The sequence below is a fragment of the Homo sapiens genome, chromosome 3, assembly GCF_000001405.40.
Source record: "Homo sapiens chromosome 3, GRCh38.p14 Primary Assembly".
NCBI classification, from domain to species: Eukaryota; Metazoa; Chordata; class Mammalia; order Primates; family Hominidae; genus Homo; species Homo sapiens.
The window spans coordinates 47,741,572-47,761,011 of NC_000003.12; the positions used below are offsets into that span (position 1 = coordinate 47,741,572).

Sequence of the window (19,440 nt, forward strand, 5' to 3'; positions counted from 1 at the left end):
ACTCCTCCAACTACTCAACGTGAAGACAAGGATGAGTATCTTTACGATACACTTCCATTTAATGAATAACAAATATATTTTCCTTTCCTTATTCTTCAATTCTTCACCCCTCATTCTTCATACTTGTATACCTGTTTTCAGAGCTCTAATTGCCTCCAGGATATCTATTTATTTTACTATTATTTTAAAAAATAGAGATGGGGTCTTGCTATGTTGCCCAGGTTAGTCTTGAACTCCTGGACTTAAGTGATTCTTCTGCCTCAGCCTCCCAAAGTGCTCAGATTATAGGTGTGAGTTACCACACCTGGCACCACTATGATGTTTGCCACCCTTTTGGGGTATGGCATACTAGACCATCCTGTGGGGATGGCCTCCAGGGTATTATAGCTTGCTGTCATCATACAAAGCTCCTTATTTGAGGCCAGCTTTTGTCACTTCCCCACAAAACTGTTTGGTTCTATTGTTGTCTTGCCTTTGGCTCAGTGCATTTTTGTTTTTCCTTTTAGAAGTTTGCTTCTGATGCCCTTTTACAGGCATGAGCCACCACACCAGCCTAATGATTATAGTTCTAATTTGCATTCCTCTTTCGGGTTGAAGCTTGAACATCTATCTGTATTATTAGAAAGCAAAACTTAATATAAACATTCTCAAGATAGGGTTCCAGCCTGCTGGGTGACAGAGCAAGACTCCGTCTCAAAAAAGAAAAAAAAAAAAACATGTAACAATCTCTTTAGAACTGTAGGAAAAAATAAACAACGTCCTAATCTCTGGGCATGTGGGCACTAACAGTCAACTCTCTATTACTTAATTGAACTTGGTATTTAATCTCTCCTTTGGGAGATCCGTTTGGATTTCCATGAATAGGTCAAACTTGTTATCCTTCAGTTACATATAACTATACTTCAACTCTATACAAAGTTTTATCCTTCAGGAGAAAAACCATAAATAAGACACTCATTGATTTTACCTATTTAGAAACATCCAGAAAGATCAAACTTAACATTTCAATTCTGTAATCTCTCTTTCTGTTTTTGACACAGGGTCTCTGTCACCCAGGCTGGAGTGCAGTGGTGCAATCTTGGTTCACTGCAGCCTCTACATCCTGAACTCAAGTGATCCTCCCACCTCAGCATCCGGAGTAGCTGGGACTATAGGCATGCACCACCACACCCAGCTAATTTTCCTATTTTTTGTAGAGGCTGAGTTTTCCCACATTGCCTGGGCTGGGTTCAAACTCCTGGGCTCAAGCAATCCGCTGACCTCAGCCTCCCAAAGTGCTGGGATTACAGGCATGAGCCACCACAGCTGGCCAATTCTGTAATATTAATCTGTACAGTCTCTTCACAAATATGCTAGTAATTACCAGGTATTCCCATTCAACCTCATATGCATGACATTAGAGCTTCGTGTCACTAGAGACTAAAACAAAGACTACTGAGAAGTCAGTAAGAAAGCAGAACCACAATGAAATAAGAAGAAAATAGTGCTTGCCGTAATAACAAAACCAGCAAACTTTGGACCTAAAGCCAGAAATGCAACCTAGACTGTGAGGTTCAATTAAAGAACACAGACAAAGTTCTGAGAGGCATGTTAGGCATGGGGCAAGAATGACAGGTCAGTATTCAGATATCCAAACAGAGTGGGGAGTTACTAAAATATGCACTCACTTCAAGTGTGCGAGGCACAAGAGATGAGAGAAGGTGCACACTGAAACTGGACACATAACTATACCTGAAAGGAAATAATTCTGGCACAATCTGCATAAAAGACTTGGAAAAATTCTTATTCCTGACAATGCTAACCCTATCCTTTACGTCTTTTTTAGTCCCACTTTTAATTTTAAGGAAACTGTATTACATATATCTTCCTTTTTTTTTGAGACAAGCCACTGCACCCGGCCTGTATTACACGTATCTTTCTAAACTACTGCAAGTGATTTCAGATAAAAATATTTCACTGTGGCCGGGCATGGTGACTCATGCCTGTAATCCCAGCATTTTGGGAGGCCGAGTCTGGCGGGTCACCTGAGTCAGGAGTTCAAGACCAGCCTGGCCAACATGGAGAAACCTGGTCTCTACTAAAAATACAAAAATTAGCCATGTGTGGTGGCAGGCACCTGTAATCCCAGCTACTCAGGAGGGTGAGGCAGGAGAACTGCTTGAACCTGGGAGGTAGAGGTTGCAGTGAGCCGAGATTACACCACTGCACTCCGGCCTGGGTGACAGAGCGAGACTATGTCTCAAAAAAAAAAAAAAAAAATTTCATTGTGCAGAAACTACAGACACAAAGCAAGTTCCACAATATGTGACCTAGGAAAAATCATATCACTTTGGTATTCTATCCTCAAGTGTCCAGGTTAGGACTTGTGATAAAAGCTAAACAAGAACCAAGGACAGAAAAGAGTTCCAACTGGGAACCCAGAGTTAACAGTAGGGTACAAACCATCTCTACAAGTACAGAGACATGCCGTTGCTCCTAGATAGGGAATACCATCGTGAGAGGTCCAACATCAGAGCTAGACACAGAACTGGAAAACAGAGAGCTACCTCTGATAACAAAAAGAAACAAGTCTCATGCTACTTTAGTCAATATCTTTTTTTTTGGAGACAGCCCAGGCAGGAGTGCAGTGGCGCAATCTCAGCTCACTGCAACCTCCGTCTCCCGGGTTCAAGCAATTCTCCTGTCTCAGCCTCCTGAGTACCTGGGATTACAAGTGCCTGCCACCAAGTCTGGCTAATTTTTTTTGTATTTTTAGTAGAGACAGGGTTTCGCCATGATGGCCAGTCTGGACTCGAACTCCTGACCTCAGGTGATCCAAATCAATATCTATTAAACACCATCCATATATAAAAAGTTTCAGTAAATACACATGTAAGTTTGTATCTCCTACTATTTACTATATAAATAATTTATTTAATTACACACTTGTCCTTATTGTTGATCTAAATATTTATTTGCACTTCCCAACCATAAAGTATTGGGTTAGCTTAACTTTTAAAGTAAAATATATAAATTACATGTGTATTCTCCTGGAAAGATGCTAAGGTTATAAACTGTGCACCACTAACTCAACTGAAAATACCAAACAATTTCAGGACAATATACTCCACTCCCCCAACCCTACCCTGTGAACTATGTCCCTGACAACCCCACAGCTCAGGACATCACTAGTCCCAGTAACTGATGGAAACTCCAGAGTTCAAGAGAAAAAAAAGAAATAGTACCAAGAGAGACAGCTAGAAAAGGGGAAAAGACTGAAGGGAGCAAAATGGCAGGAATATCTGCAGGGATTCTCAATCTATCTACAACACTGACCTAGGCAAAGATCTCTATTTCTTTTATCCCTGTCCTGAGGATAGCAAAATGGAATACTCTTGCAGGCCTAGATAACTTTATCTCTTAAAACTGCTATCTGGCCAGGCACGGTGGCTCACACCTGTAATCCTAGCACCTTGGAAGGTCAAGGCAGGTAGATCGCCTGAGGTCAGGAGTTCGAGACCAGCCTGGCCAACATGGTGAAACCCCATCTCTACTAAAAATGCAAAAATTAGCTGGGCATGTGGTGGCAGGTGCCTGTAATCCCAGTTACTCAGGAGGCTGAGGCAGGAGAATCACTGGAAGGTTGCAGTGAGCTGAGATGGTGCCACTTCACTCCAGCCTGGGCGAAAAAGCGCAACTAAGTCTCAAAAAAACAAAACAAACAAACAAAAATACTATCTATCCACTTCAAATATAATGTATGAGTTCATTATACACACACATTTCATGGCAAGCCTACCTTCTAATTTGCTAACAATGTACACCTGTTACTATAAAAATCAAATATAAGAAATCACTTCCCTAATAAATACTTGGTTGTGGCCGGGTGCGGTGGCTCACGCCTGTAATCCCAGCACTTTGGGAGGCTGAGATGGGTGGAGTGCTTGAGGCCAGGAGTTTGAGAGCAGCCTGACCAACATGACAAAACCCTATTTCTACTAAAAATAGAAAAATTAGCCAGGCATGGTGGTGCACGCCTACAGTCCCAGCTACTCAGGAGGCTGGGGCATGAGAATTGCTTGAATCTGATGCGCGGGATGCAGTGACCTGAGATTCCACCACTGCACTTCTAGCCTTGCCAACAGCCTTGGTTGGTCCTATTTTTAAGACCCTGTCTCAAAAATAAATAAATACGTGGTTGCTTGATATTTTTCTTGGATGTAGAAACAAGGTAAATTAGGGCTCTTGGTAAAACACATTAATCATCATGTGCTTACAGGATTTTCTAACACAAGGAAACAGGACTTAAAAGTAAATAACTTAAGATCAAAACATGCAAACAAATACAAAAACTTACCATCCCTGTTCATTTTTATACTTGTAAGCAGCCCCAAGAATGTGACATAAGGCGCCTCCAGCTTTGAAATCCATGAAACACTTTGCCTAAAAATGATACAAATTACACATGAGAAAAATAAAGCTTCTGACAAAATTACTCATGTCTTAATTCTAAGTTTTATAAATTCAAATATATAAACAAATACTAATTAAACAACCTCCTTAAACATCTTCTTGAATAAACTGAGGAATCAATACATTTTTCTAAAAGTAGATTAGGCTGGGCATGGTGGCTCATGCCTGTAATCCCAACACTCTGGGAGCGTGAAACAGGAGGATCACTTAAGCCCAGGAGTTCAAGACCAGTCTGGGCAACACAGGGAGATCCAGTCTCTAGAAAAAAATTTAAAAATTAGCTGTGCATTGTGGCACACACCTGCAATCCTATCCAGGAGGCTGGGGTGGGAGGATCACTTCAGCCTGAGAGGTTGAGCCTGCGGTGAGCCCTGATCGCCCTACTGCACTCCAGCCCTGGATGACAGAGTGAGATGCTGTCTCAAGAAAAATCAAATGAAATAAACTGAAGTGAAACTACTTTCTTGTAGCCAGTACAGTGGCTCACACCTATAGTCGCAGCTACTTGGGAGGCTGAGATGAAAGAATCACTTGAGCACAGAAATTCAAAACCAGCCTGGACAATATAGCAAGACCCCATACCCCTCCCCAAAAGAATTCCTTTTAAATTCCATAAACATATTATAATTTGAGTAATTAGTCTGTCAAAAGAAAGATTTTAAAAAGCTAAATATAGGCCAGGAGCAGTGGCTCACATCAGTAATTTTTTTTTTTTTTTTTTTTTGAGATAGAATTTTGCTTTTGTTGCCCAGGCTGGAGTGCAATGGTGCTATCTCGGCTCACTGCAACCTACGCCTCCCAGGTTCAAGTGATTCTCCTGCCTCAGCCTCCTAAGTAGCTGGGATTATAGGCATGCATGACCACGCCCGGCTAATTTTGCATTTTTAGTAGAGACAGGGTTTCTCTATGTTGGCCAGGCTGGTCTCGAACTCCCAACCTCAGGTGATCTGCCCGCCTCAACCTCCCAAAGTGCTGTGATTACAGGCATGAGCCATCGTGCCTGGCTACACACCAGTAATTCTAACATTTTGAGACACCAAGGTGAAAGAATCACTTGAGGCCAGGAGTCTGAGACCAGCTTGGGCAACACAGTGAGATCCTACCTCTACAAAAAATTTAAAAATTAGGCCAGGTGCAGGAGTGGCTCACACCTGTAATCCCAGCATTTGGCAGGCCGAAGCGGGCAGATGGCTTGAGCACAGGAGTTCAAGACCAGCCTGGGCAACATGGTGAAACCCCGTCTCAACAAAAAATGCAAAAGAAATTAGCCAGGCATGGGGGGAGTGTGCCTGTAGCCCCAGCTACTGGGAGGCTGAGGTAGGAGGATGGCTTGAACCTAGGAGGCAAAGGTTGCAGTGAGCTGAGACCATGCCACTATACTCTAGCCTGGGCAATAAAACCAGAATTTGTCTCAAAAAAATATAAATATAAATATAAATATAAATATAAATATAAATATAAAAATTAGCCAGGCATGGTGGCACACGCCTGTAGTCCCACCTACTCAGGAGGCTGAGGTAGGAGGATTGCATGAGCATGGGAAGTCAAGCTGTAGTGAACTGTGATGGTGACAAATCCAGCCTGGGTGACAGAGTGTGACCTTATCTCAAAAAACAAATTTTTTTATAAAAAAGATAAATCAAAATGGTTCCAAAGAAAATGCCTGTAACCCCAGTACTCTGGTTGAGAAAGAAGGCAGGGAGGAAGGGAGGACTGCTTGAAGCCAGGAGTTTGAGGCCAGCTTGGGCAAGGAAGTGAAACTTTGTCACAAAGAAACAAAAGAAAAAAAGAAATATAAGGATAGTGGACTTCTTCGCCTTATAAATTCTTGACTATAAATATACAAAAATTAGGCCAGGCATGGTGGCTCACGCCTGTAATCCCAGCACTTTGGAAGGCCAAAGCGGGTGGATCATGTGAGGTGAGGAGTTTGCCACCAGCACGGCCAACATGGTGAAGCCCCATCTCTACTAAAAATACAAAAATTAGCCAGGCATGGTGGCGGGCGCATGTAATCCCAGCTACTCGGGAGGCTGAGGCAGGAGAATCGCTTGAACCCAGGGGCAGAGGTTGCCAAGATCACACCACTGCACTCCAGCCTGGGCGACACAGTGAGACTGTCTCAACAAAAAATAAAAAATAAAAATAAAAACATAAATTATGCAAAAATTGTAAGTGAACACTTTTATTATACTTTTTTATCTTTTTGAAACAGGGTCTCACTGTGTTGCTCAGGCTGGAGTACAGCTGGGTGATCATGGCTCACTGTAGCCTCTGCCTTCTGGGTTCAAGGAATTCTCGTATCTCAGCCTCCCAAGTAGTTGGGATTACAAGCAAGTGCCAATACGCCTGGCTAATTTTTTTTCTGTTTTTTGCATATTTAAAAGACAAACTTTTGCCATATTGGCCAAGCTGATATGAAACTCTTGATCTCAAGTGATCCGCCCACCTTGGCCTCCCAAAGTGCTGGGATTACAGGCATGAGCCACCGCACCCGGCCTATTATAATATTTAATGACCATAAAAATGTGGTGTAACTATATAAAACTATAATAGCTAAAATCTATGCCACAATTCAAGAGATCTGTGCTTTACAGATTAAAAATATAGCTCAAATTAAACGAAATGGTGAATAATTTCCACATTATGAAGGTAAAAACAATATAAACTGAGCATCGAATAGGCTAAATAAGATGAAGTGTTATTAGAAACACCCATGCATTTTTTTCTCTAAAAACTATTACTACAAAATAATATACTGGAAAGAACCACATAGGTGGCAAACATTAAAAAGACAAAAAGCAGAATGGTGGTTGCCAAGGAAAGAGGGACAAGGAATGAAAGTTATTGTTTAATAGATACAGAAGTGAGCATAGTTTCTCCATCCCATAATCCCAAACCTTTGGGAGGCTGAGGCAGGAGGATCACTTGGGCCCAAGAGTAGAAGACCAACCTGGTCAACATAGTGAGACCTCATCTGTTTAAAAAAAAATAGTAATAAATAAAAATAAAGAGTATCCTGTAATCCCAGCACTTTGGGAGGCCGAGTTGGGTTGATCACTTGAGGTCAGAAGTTTGGGACAAGCCTGGCCAACATGGTGAAATCCCATCTCTACCAAAAAATACAAAAATTAGCCGGGCGTGGTGGCACGCACCTGCAGTCCCAGCTACTTGGGAGGCTGAGGTGGGAGGATCACTTGAACCTGGGAGGCAGAGGTTGAAGTGAGCTGATGTCATGCCACTGTAACAGAGGGAGACCCTATCTCAAACAACAAATAAAAATCATTTAAATGGCATATTTTGTTACAGATATTCTAACATAATTAAATATATATAAAATTTTAAAAAATAAATAGGCCAGGCACAGTGGCTCACGCCTATAAAACCAGCACTTTGGGAGGCCAACGAGGCAGGATCATATGAGACCAGGAGTTCAAGACCATCCTGGGCAACATAGCGAAACCTCATCTATAAAATAAATTATAAAACAAAAATGAGCCGTGTATAGTGGCACATGCCTGTGGTCCCAGCAACTCAGGAGGCTGAGGTAAATGGATTGCTTGAGCTTGGGAAGTTGAGGCTACAGTGAGCTGTGACCACACCACCGCACTCCAGCCTGGATGACAAAGTGAGACCCTCTAAATTAAACACACACACACACACACACAAAGTGAGACCCTCTAAATTAAACACACACACACAGAGAAAGAGACAGAGAGAGAGAGAGAGAGAGAGAGAGAGAGGTGGCGGGGAGAGGGATAGAGGGAGGGGGCAGGCAAATAAAAAAGGTGGCTCACGCCTACAATCCGAGCACTTTGGGAGGCCGAGGCGGGTGGATCACGAGGTCAGGAGATCGAGACCATCCTGGCTAACATGGTGAAACCCCGTCTCTACTAAAAATACAAAAACTTAGCCGGGCGTGGTGGCAGGCGCCTGTAGTCCCAACTACTCAGGAGGCTGAGGCAGAAGAATAGCATGAACCCGGGACATGGAGCTTGCAGTGAGCCAAGATGGTGCCACTGCACTCCAGCCTGGGTGACAGAGCAAGAGTCCATCTCAAAAAAAAAAAAAAGAAAATGCACGAGTCATTATAATTCTGTAGTGCTGACATCTTAAAATAGACTAATGTAGGCTGGGCGCGGTGGCTCACGCCAATAATCCTAACACTTTGGGAGGCCAAGGTGGACGGATCACAAGGTCAAGAGATCCAAGACCATCCTGGCCAACATGGTGAAACCATGTCTCTACTAAAAATACAAAAATTAGCTGGGTGTGGTGGTGCACGCCTGTAGTCCCAGCTACTTGGGAGGCTCAGGCAGGAGAATCACTTGAACCCGAGAGGCAGAGGATGCAGTGAGCCGGGATCGCGCCAGGGCACTCCAGCTTGGCGACAGAACGAAACTCCATCTCAAAAATAAATAAATAAATAAATAAATAGACTAATGTAATAGGTGGGTATCTACTACAGTAGAATGAGACTTACTTCTCCTACAGAAAGCCTTCCCTAAATCCCCAGATTGGTCTAAAATGTTCTCCTCAAACCATGCATGTAATCACTATTGCACTTCAGCATAATAGTGACATGACTGATTCATATATTTAATGTGGAATATGAATTCCTTGTGGACAGGAACAGTGCTTATTCAAATCTATCACCAATATTCAGCAATGTGCCACCTGACAACATAGGTAATCTGAATTTTCTCAACAGTTCAACTATATTGACACCACTTAAAATTAGAGATCCACGCTACTCAGAAATATATACTGAGCTGGCCATAACAATAAAACATCTATATAAATAAGGTCAATTTCTCAACAGATATTAAATTTGAAAAATGAAATCATTACCAAATATAGGCTTAAGACAAAGTAATTTTTTTTTTTTTTTGAGCCAGAGTCTCACTCTTGTCACCCAGGCTGGAGTGCAGTGGCGCAATCTCAGCTGACTGCAACCTCTGCCTCCCGGGTTCAAGGGACTGTCCTGCCTCAGCCTCCTGAGTAGCTGGGATTACAGACACGTGCCACCACGCCAGGCTTATTTTTGTATTTTTAGTAGAGACAGGGTTTCACCAGGTTGGCCAGGCTGGTCTTTAATTCCTGACCTTAGGTGATCCGCCCGCCTCAGCCTCCCAAAGTGCTGGGATTACTAGCGTGAGCCACCGCGCCTGGCCGACAAAGTAACTTTTATTCAGCCACTACAGGGACAGATGATGAGAATGAAGTAGAAAACAGATGGCCAGGCGTGGTGGTTCATGCCTATAATCCCAACACTTTGGAAGGCCAAGGCAGGCTGATCACGAGGTAAGGAGTTCAAGACCAGCCTGGCCAATATGGGGAAACCCTGTCTCTACCAAAAATACAAAAATTAGCTGGGCATGGTGGCAGGCACCTGTAGTCCCAGCTACTTGGGAGGCTGAGGCAGAAGAATCGCTTGAACCCAGGAGGCGGAAGTTGCAGTGAGCTGAGATCACGCCACTGCACTCCAGCCTGGGCAACAGAGCAAGACTCTGTCTCAAAAAAAAAAAAAAAGAAAACAAAACTGACATTCAATTTTCCAATGGTAAAATATACATAAAAGTAGTGTAATCCCAGCACTTTGGGAGGCCACAGTAGGAAGACCTCTTGAGCCCAGGAGTTCGAGACCCGCCTGGGTAACACAGGGAGACCTTGTCTATATTATTTAAAAATAAAAATAAATAAAAAGGAATAGACGGAACTCATGAACCTATCAAAGGTACTAGTTCCAATAATGAAGTTCAACGAGATAAAAACCTTGGCCAGGCGCAGTAGCTCACGCCTGTAATCCTAGCACTTTGGGAGGCAGAGGAGGGTGGATCACGAGGTCAGGAGTTCAAGATCAGCCTGACCAACATGGTGAAACTCCATTACTACTAAAAATACAAAAAAATTAGCAGGACATGGTGGCACACATCTGTGATCCCAGCTACTCAGGAGGCTGAGGCAGGAGAATCACTTGAACCCGGGAGGCAGAGGTTGCGATGAACCGAGATTGCGCCACTGTACTCCAGCCTGAGTGACAGAGCGAGACTTCATCTCAAAAACAACAACAACAACAACAAACCTCTACAGATGTGGCAGAATAAAATGGTACTGGCAGGGGCAAGGCCTATCCATACATCAAGGATTCTTACGGCTTGCACACAAATGGATTTGGGATAGAAACGGACTTGGGATTGGCTCAAAAAAGCTCAGTAGCACAATCACCCAAATGAAAACGTGAGAAATCAAAGTCAGGTAATGGAAAGCTGGAGATAGGAACAAGAAACTTCTTAGAGACATTCACTGAACCTTGACTGTATCTCCCATTCCAGCCCCATCCTATAAACCCCCATGCTGAAGAGGCCCTGCCCTAATTCAAAATGAGTATAGTTCTTAAACACTCCCTAAATGAAAAGCACAGGATGTTAGAGCAAATACTTGTTAATTCGTATTGGAAAACCTAAAGAATAAAAAGGCAGCCGGATGCAGTGGCTCGCACCTGTAATTCTAACACGTTGAGAGGCCGGGACAGGAGGATCACTTCAGGCCAGGAGTACAAGAACACCCTGAGCAACATAACAGAGCGAAACCCTGTCTCTAGAAAATAATTAAAATAAAATTAGCCCGGCATGGTAGGATGTACCTCCCAGCTACCCAGTAGGCTGAGTCAGGAGGGCTAGTTGAGCCTAGGAGGCTGAAGCTGCAGTGACCCATGATCACAGTCCTGTCTGAAAAAAACAAACAAAAAAAAGTAGCAAAAACTGAAATTTCTAGAGCCAGCAAAATGATGCCTTATATGAGTATCTCAACAGCTGAACACTCCAATTAGAGACTCTGGGGGTCAAAGTCAACTCTAACAGGCTGCCTCTACTCTCAACTGTGTGACCCAATTGCTTTTAATAAACAATTCTATCCCTGGCTGACTCTATTGGAAATTTAATCTGATCTTATCCTGGGTATATATAAGTGGTTTCACCCTACTTATTTATAGCCCACCTAAAATCTTGCTGAGCTGAATGAAACTTAGAATAAATCTAGGCCGGGCACTACGGCTCACGCCTGTAATCTCAGCACTTTGGGAGTCCAAGGGGGGCGGATCACGAGGTGAGGAGTCTGAGACAATCCTGGCCAACATGGTAAAACCCCATCTTAGTCGGACGTGGTGGGACACGTCTGTAGTCCCAGCTACTCAGGAGGATGAGACAGGAGAATCACTTGAACCCAGGAGGTGGAGGTAGCAGTGAGCTGAGAACGCACCACTGCACTCCAGCCTGGGCAACAGAGCGAGACTCCATCTCCAAAAAAAAAAAAAAAAGAAGAAAAGAGAAGATAAATCTACTACAATAATTTGTGCCATGGATTCCTTATTTCTTTATTCCTTTATTTATTCATAAAAGACAAAGTAGGCCGGGTGCGATGGCTCATGCCTGTAATCTGAGCACTTTGGGAGGCCGAGGCGGGCGGATCACCTGAGGTCAGGAGTTCAAGACCTGCCTGGCCAAGGTGAAACCCCGTCTCTACTAAAAATACAAAAAAAATCAGCCGGGCGTGGTGGTGCATGCCTGTAATCCCAGCTACTCGAGAGGCTGAGGCAGGAATCGCTTGAATTCGGGAGGCGGAGGTTGCAGTGAGCTGAGATTGCGCCACTGCACTCCAGTCTGGGCAACAAGAGCAAAACTCCATCTCAAAAAAAAAAAAAAAAAAAAAGACAAAGTAGTGCTAACAATTGGTAAAAAGAAACGTGTTTCTATGAAAGGAGTATTCACATTTCTAACACTATGTTTAGGTCTATCAGTCAATAAATGACTGTGCCAGAAAAGGGATGTGAAGTAGTAAATAAGCAGAGAATGTGTCCAAGAAAGTTCACAAGAAATCACAAAGTCATCCTCACACCTTGAAAATGGTTGAAAGAGAAAAAAATACATCATTTAAATTCCAGAATTCTTATACCTCACAAAATAAAATGACACACGTCAAAAATTCCATACATTTACTTATCTATTAAACTTATTTGGAATTTGTATTATTATCAGCACCTCTAATGATAGGTCACTGCTACCGTAATAGTCTTGGAGACAACAAAAAGTATTAGCATTGACACCAATCACTGAGAATTTATCATGAAGCACTTTTGACTTATTTCCTCATTTACTTGTCACAACAAGCATATGAACTTTACTCTTTTTTTTTTTTTTGAGACTGAGTCTCGCTCTGTCGCCAGGCTGGAGTGCAGTGGTGCAATTTCAGCTCACTGCAACCTCCGCCTCCCAGGTTCAAGCAATTCTCCTGCCTGAGCCTCCTCAGTAGCTGGGACTGCAGGCGCGCACCACCACGCCCAGCTAATTTTTGTATTTTTAGTAGAGACAGGGTTTCACCATGTTGGCCAGGATGGTCTCGATCTCTTGACCTCGTGATCCACCAGCCTCGGCCTCCCAAAGTGTTGGGATTACAGGTGTGAGCCACGGCTCCTGGCCTGAACTTTACTCTTTTACACCCATTTTACAGATGAGAAAAGTGTTGCTGGCTCCAGCAATATTGTATACTAAAGAACTATTACACTCTACCACTATAAACATGTAGAAATGTTGGGTAAAAGTAACACGCATTATTTTAAATGAGCAGCTGAATTCCTAGAAAGAAAGCAAATCCCCAGGTGCAAAAATCAAAGGGAGGAAAAAAAAGAAACAACTAAAAGTCAAAGTGGTAATCATGCGAGGTAAAAAATACAACCCTAGGCTAGGCACAGTGCCCCACGCCTGTAATGCCAGAACTTTGGGAGGCCAAAACAAGCAAACCACTGTAAGTCAGGAGTTCGAGACCAGCCTAGCCAACATGGTGAAACCCTGTCTCTACTAAAAATAGAAAAATTAGTCAGGCATGGTGGCGGGCACTTGTAATCCCAGCTACTTGGAAAACTGAGACAGGAGAATCGCTTGAACCCAGGAGGCACAGGCTGCAGTGAGCTGAGATCGTGCCACTGCACTCCAGCCTGGATGACAGAGCAAGACTCTGTCTCAAAAATAAATAAATAAAAATTATCCGGGCACAGTTATGCACGTCTGTAATCCCAGCTACTCGCGAGGCCGAGGCAGGAAAACTGGTTGAAACCAGAAGGTGGAGGCTGCAGTGAGCCAAGATCGCACCACTGCACTTCAGTCTGAGTGAGAGTCTGTCTCAAAAACTAAATTAATTAAGGGCGGGCACGGTGGCTCATGACTGTAACCGCAGCATTTTTGGAGGCTGAGGCGGGCTGATCATGAGGTTAGGAGATCGAGACCATCCTGGCTAACAAGGTGAAACCCTGTCTAAAAAAAAATACAAAAATTAGACAGGCACGGTGGCAGCCTGTAGTCCGAACTACTTGGGAGGCTGAGGCAGGAGAATGGCGTGAACCCGGGAGGCAGAGCTTGCAGTGAGCTGAGATCGCGCCACTGCACTCCAGCCTGGGCAACAGAGCAAGACTCTGTCTCAAAAAAAAAAAAAAGAAAAACTAATTAAATAAAAAGCGAATTTAAAAAAAAAAAGAATTATAAGTTTAAAATGTAAAACAGGCCAGGCACGGTGGCTCATGCCTGTAATCCCAGCACTTTGGGTGGTCAAGGCGGGCGGATCATGAGGTCAGGAGTTCGAGACCACCCTAGCCAACATGGTTAAACTCCGTCTCTACTAAAAATACAAAAAATAGGCCAGGCGCGGTGGCTCATGTCTGTAATCCCAGCACTTTGGGAGGCCGAGGCGGGCCGATCACAAGGTCAGGAGTTCGAGACCAGCCTGACCAACATGGTGAAACACGTCTCTACTAAAAATACAAAAAGTAGCCAGGCGTGGTGGCAGGCACCTGTAATCCCAGCTACTCTGAAGGCTGAGGCAAGGGAATCGCTTGAATCCGGGAGGCGGAGGTTACGGTGAGCTGAGATGGTGCCACTGCATTTCAGCCCGGGTGACAGAGCCAGGCTTCATCTTAAAAAAAAAAAAAAAAAAAAAAAAAAAAAAAGGCTGGGCGTGGTGGCGGGCGCCTATAATCCCAGCTACAGCCACTCAGGAAGCTGAGGCAGCAGAACCATTTGAACCCAGGAGGCAGAGGTTGCAGGGAGCCAAGATCGCGCCATTGCACTCCAGCCTGGGCTACAGGGCAATACTGCATCTCAAAATAAATAAATAATAAAGCTTCTTGAAGAAAATACAGAAGAATATATACATGACTTCAGAAAAGGCAAAGATTTCTGGCCAGGCGTGGTGGCTCATGCCTGTAATCCTACCACTTTGGGAGGCCTAGGCGAGCAGATCACCTGAGGTCAGGAGTTCGAGACCAGCCTGACCAACATGGAGAAACCCCGTCTCTACTAAAAATACAAAACCAGCCAGGCATGGTGGCGCATGCCTGTAACTCCAGCTACTCAAGAGGCTGAGGCAGGAGAATCACTTGAACCCGGGAGGCGGAGGTTGCAGTGAGCTGAGATCGCGCCATTGCGCTCCAGCCTGGGCAACAAGAGCGAAACTCCGTCTCAAAAAAAAAAAAAAAAAAAAAAGGCAAAGATTTCTATAAGAACACAAAAAGTATTAACAACACAGAAAAATTTTACTAAATTGTTCTGTATCAGGAAATGGCAAATAATGGTCCACGGGTCAAATGTAGTCCACTCTTGTTTTTGTAAAGTTTTACTGAAGCAAATTCACATTCATGTATTTCTTGTGGCTACTTTCACACAATAGCAGCAAAAGCAAGTACTTGCATCACAAACCATATGACCCAAAAGGCCCAAAATATCTGGTATTTTACAGAAAAAGTTTACCGTTTCCTGCTGTATATGACAAGTACAAACCTCTGCTCATCAAAGGACATCATTATGAGAGTAAAAACATAAACTATTAAGTGGGAGAAGAGATCTGGAATAAATATTTCTGACCAATGAACCATATCCAGAATACCTAAGAAAAATTCAGCCAGGTATGGTGACTCACGCCTGTAATCCCAGCACTTTGGGACGCCGAGCTGGGAGAATCACTTGAGCCCAGGAGTTTGAGATCAGCCTGGGCAATCAGGCGAGACTGTCTCTACAAAAAAACAGAAAAAATTATCCGGGTGTGGTGGTGTGGACTGGTAGTCCCAGCTGCTTGAGAGGCTGAGGTGGGAAGATCCTCTGAGCCCAGGCGTTTGAGGCCGCAGTGAGCTATGATCAAGGCAATGTACTCCAGCCTGGGTGATTAGGCCAGACCCCGTTTCAAAAAAGAAAAGAAAAAAAGAGAGAGAGAAAGACCAATGTGCAAATTTTTAAACAGGCAAAAGATTTAAACAGGTACTTCTCAAAAAAGGATAGCCAAGTGGCCAATAAATAAAGTTGCTCACATTAATTAATTATTAGCAACTAGAAAATAATGCATTATAACCACAAATCTACTAAATAACCAAAATGTAAAAGACAAAAAGATTCCAAGGATTGGTGAGAAAGTAGAAAATCAGAACGCTCAGCCAGGTGTGGTGGCTCATGCCTGTAATCTCAGCACTTTGGGAGGCCAAGGCAGGTGGATCATGAGGTCAGGAGATCGAGACCATCCTGGCTAACACGTGAAACTGGTGAACCCCTATCTCTACTAAAAATACAAAAACTTAGCCGGGCATGGCAGCATGCACCTGTAGTCCCAGCTACTCGGGAGGCTGAGGGAGGAAAACGGCATGAAACAGGGAGGCGGAGCTTGCAGTGAGCCGAGATCCCGCCACTGCACTCCAGCCTGGGCGACAAAGCGAGGCTCCGTATCAAAAAAAAAAAAAAAAGAAAGAAAGAAAGAAAAGAAAATCAGAATGCTCATACACTGTTTGTGGGAGTATAAATTGGTAGAACTGCTGTGGAAACCTGTTTAGCAACATCTACTAAAGTTGACCAACCTATGACATAGCAAGTAAACTCTTAAGAACACAACCAAAAGAAACATCTAAGTTGAGCAAAAGAAATATATAAAAATATTCACAACAGCACTATTTATAATAGCTCTAAGCTGCAAATTACCCCAAAAGCCTATCAATGCAAAATGAATAAAAAAAATTGTGGTGTATTCCCACAACGGAATACTATACAGCAACTGTTGGCAAATTATGAAACAGCTATCGAAAAACAACAAGGGTCTCACTGTGTCACCCAGGCTGGAGTGCAGTGGAATGATCACTACTCACTGCAGCCTTCAACTCCTGGGCTCAAGTGATCCTCACACCTCAACCTCCTAAGTAGCTCCAACCACAGGAGTTTGCCAACATGCTGACGCTAATATTTTAATATTCTGTAGAGATGTGGTCTCACTATCTAACCCAGGCTGGTTTTGAACTCCTGGGCTCAAGCAATCTTCCCACTTCAGCCTCGCAAAAAAAAAAAAACAAAAACTAGCCACACGTGGTAGTATATGCCTAGGCTAAGACAAGAGGATTGCTTAAGCCCTAGAGGTCAAGGCTGCAGTGAGCTGTGTTCATTCAGGACACCACTCCAACCTGGTAACACAACAGGGTACCATCTCAAAAAAATCAAAATTAAAGTTTTACCAGTACACAGCCATACTTATTATGTACTGCATATACATACACTCATTTACGTATTGTATATAGCTGCTTTCATACTACACTGAGTGGCTGTAACAGAGCCCACAGAGCCTACAGGCCTAAAATATTTACTATCTAGAATATTTACTATCTGTCCCTTTAATTAATTAATTTATTTATTTATTTAGAAACAGGGTGTTGGCCGGGCGCGGTGGCTCAGGCCTGTAATCCTACGTTTTGGGAGGCTGAGGTGGGTGGATGACCTGAGGTCAGGAGTTTGAGACCAGCCTGGCCAAGATAAACACAAACACAAAATTAGCCAGGCGTGATGGTGCATGCCTGTAATCCCAGCTACTCAGGAGGCTGAGGCAGGAGAATCACTTGAACCAGGGAGGCGGTGGTGGCGGTGAGCTGAGATCGCACCATTGCACTCCAGCCGGGGCAACAAGAGCGAAACTCTGACCCAAAAAAAAAAGAGGAGAAACAGGGTGTCACTTTCATCCAGGCCATAGTGCAGAGGTGCAATCTCAGCTCACTACAACCTTCGCCACCTGGCTCAAGCAATCCTCCCACCTCAGCCTCCCAAATAGCTGGGACGACAGGGGCCCTCCCAAACGCCTGGCTAATTTTGATATTTTTTTGTAGAGACCAGCTTTTGCCATGTTGTCCAGGCTGGTCTTGAACTCCTGGACTCAAGTGATCCACCCACCTCAGCCTCCCAAAATGCTTGGATTATGGGAGTGAGCCACAGCATACAGTACACTCTGTCCCTTTAGCAAAAAAAATTAGGCTGGGCGTGGTGGCTCATACCTGTAATCCCAGCACTTTGGGAGGCTGAGGCGGGCAGATCACAAGGTCGGGAGTTCAAGACCAGCCTGGCCAACATGGTGAAACCCCGTCTCTACTAAAAATACAAAAATTAGCCGAGCATGGTGGGGCGTGCCTGTAATCCCAGCTACTCGGGAGGCTGAGGCAGGAGAATAGCTTGAACCCGGGAGGCGGAGATTGCAGTGAGCCAAGATTCCACCACTGCACTCCAGTCTGGGACAGAGCTAGACTCCGTCTCAAAAAAAAAAAAAAAAAAGAAAAAGAAAAAATTTAGCCAGGCGCAGTGGCTCATGCCTGTAATCCCAGCACTTTGGGAGGCTGAGGCAGGTGGATCACCTGAGGTCAGGAGTTCAAGACCAGCCTGGCCAACATGGTGAAACCTCATCTCTACTAAAAATACAAAAAAATTAGCTGGGTGTGGTGGCGGGTGCCTGTAATCCCAGCTACTCGGGAGGCTGACGCAGGAGAATCGCTTGAACTCGGGAGGCTGAGGTTGCAGTGAGCTGAGATCATGCCATTGCACTCCAGCCTGGGCAACAAAAGCGAGACTCCATCTCCAGAAAAAAAAGAAAAAGAAAAAATGTATCAGCCCGTACACAGCAATGACAATAAACAAATTACAACTATAAGCAATAACACAGAAAAATTTGAGGCCAGGTATGGTGGCTCACGCCTGAAATCCCACCACTCTGGGAGGCCGAGACGGGCAGATCACTTGAGGCCAGGAGTTTGAGACCAGCATGGCTAACATGGTGAAACCCCATCTCTACCAAAAATACAAAATATCAGCTGGGAATGGTGGTGCACACCTGTTAATCAGCTACTTTAGAGGCTGAGGCATGAGAATCGCATGAACCCAGGAGGCAGACTGCAGTGAGCCAGGATCGTACCACTGCATTCCAGCCTGGGCAACAGAGAAAGGCTGTCTCAAAAAAATTAAAAAAAAGAAATTTTTACAAATGTAACATTTGTCTGCATGCTTCAAAAATGTTAAGTCATGGGCCAGAGGGAGTGGCTCATGCCAGTAATCTCAGCACTTTGGGAGGCCAAGGCTGACAGTTACCTGAGGTCAGGAGTTGGAGACCAGCCTGGCCAACATGGTGAAACCCAGTTTCTACTAAAAATACAAACATTAGCTGGGCGTTGTGGCGCATGCCTGTAATCCCAGCTACTGGGGAGGCTGAGGCAGGAGAATCATTTGAACCTGGTAGGGGAGGAGACTGCAGTGAGCCAAGATTGTGCTACTGCACTCCAGCCTGGGCAACTGAGCAAGACTCTGTCTCAAAAAACAACAACAAAAATGTAAGTCATAACAAACAAACGTCAATCAGCTGTGCGTGGTAGCTCAAAGCAGCAATCCCAGTACTTTGGAAGGCCAAGGCAGAAGGACTTCTTCAGTCCAAGAGTTCAAAACCAGCCTGGGTAACACAGTGAGACCCTATCTCTATCAAATTAAAAATTAAAAAATTTGGCCAGGTGCTGTGGCTCACACCTGTAATCCCAGCACTTTGGGAGGCCAAGGCAGGCAGATCACTTGAGGTCAGTAGTTCGAGACCAGCCTAGCCAACATGGTGAAACCCCATCTCTACTAAAAATACAAAAATTAGCTGGGTGTAGTGGTGCACACCTGT

The 19,440-nt window shown here is 44.1% G+C and overlaps 1 protein-coding gene across 1 annotated transcript in view, besides 1 other annotated feature; it reads right to left on the reverse strand.

Moving 5' to 3' along the window:
* SMARCC1 (SWI/SNF related BAF chromatin remodeling complex subunit C1) overlaps positions 1 to 19,440 on the reverse strand; it is a 196,625-nt gene that overhangs the window by 156,303 nt on the left and 20,882 nt on the right. Inside the window, exon 3 of the mRNA NM_003074.4 lies at positions 4,337 to 4,422. Coding sequence (NP_003065.3) covers positions 4,337 to 4,422 — 86 coding nt within the window. The remainder of the gene's footprint in view (positions 1 to 4,336; positions 4,423 to 19,440) is intronic.
* Positions 1,550 to 1,689: an enhancer, noted in NCBI's record as "active region_19819". NCBI's record gives its function as "activates an Ori minimal core promoter by ATAC-STARR-seq in GM12878 lymphoblastoid cells {active_cell/tissue: GM12878}" and the evidence as "EXISTENCE:reporter gene assay evidence [ECO:0000049][PMID:35858748]".